The sequence below is a fragment of the Homo sapiens genome, chromosome 3 (genome assembly GCF_000001405.40).
Source record: "Homo sapiens chromosome 3, GRCh38.p14 Primary Assembly".
In the NCBI taxonomy this organism is placed as follows: Eukaryota; Metazoa; Chordata; class Mammalia; order Primates; family Hominidae; genus Homo; species Homo sapiens.
In genome coordinates this window covers 139,231,880-139,237,879 of record NC_000003.12, presented here as the reverse complement: position 1 = coordinate 139,237,879, position 6,000 = coordinate 139,231,880, and the positions used below count along the sequence as shown (strand labels likewise).

The following is a 6,000-nucleotide window of genomic DNA, read 5'->3' as shown; positions in this document are numbered from 1 at the left end:
AGATGTGATGGGAAGAGCAAGGCTTTCTGGCCCCAGAAAGGACACTGGGCAATTCCTGGAATTAAAGAATGTAGAAATGCCCTCATTTCTGTGAGCATCTCCTCCATGTTTGAGTTTGCCAACAAACCATGAGAGCCCATGGCTGGGTGCCTCACATGGATCTGGCACTGACTAGGTGCTTGTAAATGTTTGCTGATGGAACAAGTAGAGAAAGTAATGAAGCCCAGACTCAGGAAGTAAGTTTTTGACATGGCCCAAGAACTTGGCTGCAACCTGGACTGCCTTGGTTCCCAGGAAGCCTGTGACACTAAGACCTTTGCCCCCCCGACTTGAGGGAGAGACACATATCACTGGATGGACCAGGGGTCAAGCTGATCTTGGATAAGAGATGGCATTAGGCTAGTAGGGCCAGAGTGACTCTGGGGGGACTTCCTTTGAGAACACATTCAGGCTGTAAGGCTTGGTAAAGAACTATCTTGGTCCCTGAGATCTCAGAAGGAAGCAATGGGTGAAACTGGAGTAGATTCTAGTGGAGTCGTGGGTCTTTAAGTGTTTCTCCATGGTCACGTTTTTTTGATATGGAATCACATGCTTTGATAAGGAACAGCCCCAGGAGGCAGTGGAGCAGTGAACTCATCTTGCTCTCCAGCTGCCTTTTCAGAAGAATTTTATTTTCTTCTAGCAAAGCAATGTTACATACATTCAGCTAAGATATTTTTCTTCTAATGGAGCTAAATGCCGTATCATAGACAAGATCCACCCATCTAATTTGAAAGAAGGTCAGTAAGTAGAGAATAGCTTAAATGGCAATAAAGTTATGGGAGAAACTGATTAAACTTATATACATGTGCAGTTACAGACCAAAGTTAAAAAAAAAAAAACAAAAAAAAAAACCTCTCCTTGGAATGAAACCAAATGATAGCCTGGATACTAAACTGAAGTGATATTGTTCCAATTTTTCCTTTATCAGACAAAAGAAAAAGTCTTTCCATGTAGCCTTTTGACATAGAACTAATTTAAAGAAGATTTGGGAGTATGATGCAGGATCAGATGCCTTTGCAAATTCCTTGCTGTTTTCATTTGAAATATCTCATTTATGCTCAAATTTCCGATTGGAAATTTAATGACTTCTTCTTTAAGGGAAGTTGGCAAGCTGGGTTGGTTTAAATACAAATCTCCCAAAGGTAAAAGATCCGACATCATTATAAAAATAGAAAATATTCTCATTGTCCTTTTGAGATGTTTCTCCTAGAAGTCGGGGGATGTTTCTGAACAGCAGATGCGTTTTGGTAAAACAAAGTTGGAAAATATGTGAAACTCTTGACATTAAAACTACTTCCTGAGTTGTGTCAAGTTCTGTGGCTGCCCAGGGTAACTGAGACCATTCTCTCTGTGGCAATAAACTTGTTGGAAAATGCCCCAGTAATAGAAACACTCATAATTTGCTGCCTGGTGATTTTTACCTCAATTCTGGACAAGTCCTTTACCCTCTGAGCCTTGGTATCCCTATCTGTCAAATGGGGAGGCTGGCCTCCATAACCTTTAGGGACTCTTCAAGCATGGATATTCTCTGAGTTTATGACTCATTAACATATAAAATGTGATTTGCATTCAGCTGGTAGGAAACATTTTTTTCAAACTAGCAAAATATCAGATTGCTGAGTAATTTCTCAAATCAGACATGGATCATCCAGTGCAATCAAGTAACAACCCATTTTCTACAAGCAGCCCAAACTGACCTGAAATGAACTGCTTCTCTCCCTCTGTCCCACCCAGCCTGAGATGAGCCAATTCAAAGGCCTGATTAAGTCGAGGAATAAATAAAGAGATACCCTTCTATAATGAAAACAAGCTAAGAGTTGCTTTCCCATGGTAGGTCAGTGCACGCTCATGCCTTTGCTGAAAATTCAATTGCAGAGAGCATCTTGACCACCTTTCAACCTGCAGGTAGGCCTAATCAGTTTAACCTCCCTCAAAAGCCTTTAGGGTCTAGGACCACGTCTTGTTCACCTCTGTGTCCAGGTCCTACATCAGGGCCTGACAGAATACAGAGTAAATGTATTAATAAAACAGATCGTTGAAATGGCCTATCTAGACACTGCTTCAACATTTACATAGAGGAGGATCGGGGCAGAAATCTATTACAAAGACAGGGAGGTAGCTAGGAGATTTGTCTTGGAGCTACAGTTGCTCAGCAAGGACACTGAATTTACTGAGACTGTAGTTGTTTATTGATTGTTTAATTTGTTTACTTAATTAGACTGTACCTAGGGTAGTTTGGGAGGCAGATGGTGATGGGAATTTGGACAGCTTCTTCCTGAGCCACCCCCACCATGCCACCCAGGGCAATTGATACCATGATGTCTGAGGACTTCCTCACAGAGTGTCCCATGCAGAGGTATACAGGACAGAAGAGGAATGTGCTTTTTTCTCATAGATGTTTCCCTTTCCTGTTTGCACAACTTCAGACCATGCAGTCATTGTAGCTGTAGGAAGCAGCATGTACCATGTGTGACTGTGTGTGCATGGGCTTCTTGCATAAGGGTTCTAGTGCATGGTGTTTCCCTAGGAGGGCAGGGTGGAGGGAACAGTGGACAGAACACGGGCTTTGGAGATGGATGGGGCTGGGTTTTTAATCCTGGGTGGGGGCAGTGGTGCTGAAGAACCTTATGATGTTGACAGGCCACCTAATCTCTCATCTGTAAAGAAGGGAGAATCCTACTTCCCTCACAGGCATATACCTAGACTGCCATAAATGGCTGCAACTTATACCATTCATTCACCTTTTTGTCATATGGGCCTGTTTTACACGGGCCTCTCCAGGCCCTCGTGGCAGGCTCTGTTCTCCCCCTGTAAACACAAGGAACACATTTTCTTTGTCCTGCCGAAGTAGTGGAACAAGTCTGTGCAGATGACCCCTGACCTCATCCAGGAGTGGAGTCAGGGGTAATCACACAAGTGGAGGCACTGTGCACAAAAGCCTGGGTTAGTTAGTGCCACTTGGAGGAGTCTAGGGCAAATGTTAGGACAGGACAGACAGGACCTCAAATCAGTTTTGCCACTCAGACACCAAGGATCCTTGAGTCCTGACAAACCTGGCCTTTTCAGACCCTGCCAGTGATGACTGGGGTTGGGAAAGTCAGGTTAAATTTCCTGACCTACTTGTCCCAGCCTGACTGGGACCATTTCTCATTCAAACCACAAATCCCAGTGAGGCATTGTTGATGTGTCCGTGCAGGTATGTGTATGCGCGAGCACACATGTGCAGGCAGGCACATGTACATGTATGCACATGGATATGGGAAGTTTTTCCCCTTAAAGGGAATACTACATGATTATAAAATAATCACATAGTGATTATTTGAAAATGGAAACAGAAAACTTACTTCAAATATGAGAAACACCTTTAGAAATAAGAGCTTTAAAAAATCTCAATTTTTGAAAAAAAAATTCCCTGAAACACTGACCAAATGGACATATTAGAAGCTGTGAAGCATGGCAAAATAATGAATTGTTAGGCACATGCTATGTTTAGAATATATCCACATAATAAACCAATATCAAGCATGTAATGTTTTTAATTACCCTTATTAAATACAATAACTGACATTAAAATCAACACTCACATAATCCCTTTCTTGTGCTGTACTTTCACTTTGCTTTCTTTTCGGGCGGGCATCTAGCAAACTTCTTTTGCAGACACTCCATAATGTTAGCTGATTAAATGTATTCAAATGTAAAATGGATGCCATATCCTCAGAAGCATTCACAGGTAAACTTTGAACTTGGAAGCCAAAATAATGTTACACTGACTAGGAAAAACCATTGGGCTTGGATCTCCACAGCCTATTCCAGTCTTCTAGCATTACGTGGCAGCAGCATATTGTCCCAGAAAAGCCAGCTAATTTTAGAGAAAATTCATCCTTTTACCTGGCCCGTGAGAGATATCAGTACACCTAGGTTTCAACATCTGCTGTGAGGAAGATTAAGAACAAGATCCTAATTTCTGGTACACTCTTGATGTTGGAAAAATATCAGCTAGCAAGCATTATTAGTTATCTTTGAGTTGACAAGAATGCGGGATTAAGTTTCTTTAAGGCAATTACACTTTTGATGACCCCTCTGCATATAAAACATGTTAGCTAATGGGGGTGCAGAGGGGCAGGCTTAAGTGTTTGATCAGGAAATCCTGCGTGAGCATATTGGATGGAAATTTGATTAGTAGCCTTAGTGACGGGCGATCAGATCCTTTGGGTCTGCACAATCAGATCTGGCAGGACTTGCCTTCTTGCCTCTTTGAAGGAGGTGAACATTTGTACAGAATCAAGACAGTGCTGGGTCCTTGGGTTTTTTTTTTTTTCTGGGTCCTTTTCTTTAAGTTATTGCAGACGAAAGCCTGAGAAGTACCTTTTATTTTCCTTCAACAATATGTTTGCAGTTACCTTAATGTTGAAGAATAAAATAAAAATCAGCCTGTCCTTGAAAATTTGAGGGCAGAGGAAGTAGAAATAAAAAAATAAATAAAAACAGAGCCAGAAGGGACCAAAGAGAACCTTGTTATAAGAATAATGGCAAACACTGATACTCAAACAACACCACACTCGAAGCATTGCTGCAAAGGCTTTCAAACAATTTGCACAAGGCCTCTATTTGACAGAGAAGGAAATTCACAGCACGGTGAAGTGGCCCAAGGTAAGGCAGCCAGGATTTAAGCCCCTGATCCAGGCTCTTGACCACTCTACACACTCCACACACTTCTACCTTCCCCATGTTCTAAGTGGGAAACTGAGTTCCAGAGAGAAGCCGTGACTCTCCCAAAGTGAGTCAGCTGTGAATAAAGCCATATTCTCCTTCTTTCTTCATTCTGGGGCTCTTCTCTTATGCCTCAAAGCTTCACCTTCCTCTGTCAGTGTGGCCAAAACAAGTCTGAGCTGGGTGCTTTATATCCATCATATCATACAATTCTTTGTTTGTTTGTTTGAGACACAGTCTTGCTCTATCACCCAGGCTGGAGTGCAGTGGCACGATCTCAGCTCACTGCAACCTCCATCTCCCAGGTTCAAGCAATTCTCTGCCTCAGCCTCCCAAGTAGCTGGGATTACAGGTGCCCACCGCCACACCTGGCTAATTTTTTTTTTCTTTTTTTTGTATTTTTAGTAGAGACAGGGTTTCACCAAGTTGGCCAGGCTGGTCTTGAACTCCTGACCTCATGATCCACCCACCTCGGCCTTCCAAAGTGCTGGGATTACAGGCATGAGCCACTGCACCCGGCCATATCATACAATTCTTAAATCACCCTTAGAAAGGGATACAATTTCCATTTTACACACAAAAGAAACTGTGGTCTCAGAGAGGTTAGGCAACCTGCCCGTAATCACACAGCAAGAAACAAAAAAGAGATTTGATCTCACATCTGTCTCATTCCAGAGTATTCTCCTTCCCACTTTCTCTGTGAGAAAAAATTAGGCTGAGAGGAGAGGAGGAAAGAATAACCCCAGCAATATTTTGGGGCCAAACAGTCATTAAAGGGATGAGTTTACATTATGCAAATTTGTTAATGCATTTGTTTAGCACAAGGAACAGAGTCCATTTTTCATATTAGGTGTATTTAGTTGAACTAACAGGTATTTTCCATATGCCTGAACTCCAGTCAGTGAAATAAGGCCCAGCATTAGCAATGAGCCTTTAGTCATGGCCAGATCCAGTCTTTAAAACATGCATCGCTTAAAAAAAAAAAAAAAAAAAAAACAGTCACACACAAACACACACACACACACCCACCCCATATAGTCTATGTTTTAATCTTCCCCTTTTTTACATGGTCTGTAAGGTCCCCAGGTTCCTCTTTCAGTGTGAACCATAAAACACAGAGATATGTTTATAAGATAAATAAAACAAAACAGTCTAGAAATCTCTCACTAGAAAAAAGTGATCAAGGTATATTCTGGCATCAGATTGACCCTCAGTCACAGGAAAGTCAATTAATTGTAATGGCCATAT

General features: G+C 41.9%; 1 long non-coding RNA gene across 1 annotated transcript; it reads left to right on the top strand.

The window, feature by feature from the left end:
• The first annotated feature begins 4,357 nt into the window (after nt 1-4,357).
• PISRT1 (PISRT1 lncRNA) lies at nt 4,358-4,888 on the top strand. The gene has a single exon (NR_027070.1). It is a non-coding gene; the product is annotated as a PISRT1 lncRNA (long non-coding RNA).
• The last annotated feature ends 1,112 nt before the right edge of the window (nt 4,889-6,000 follow it).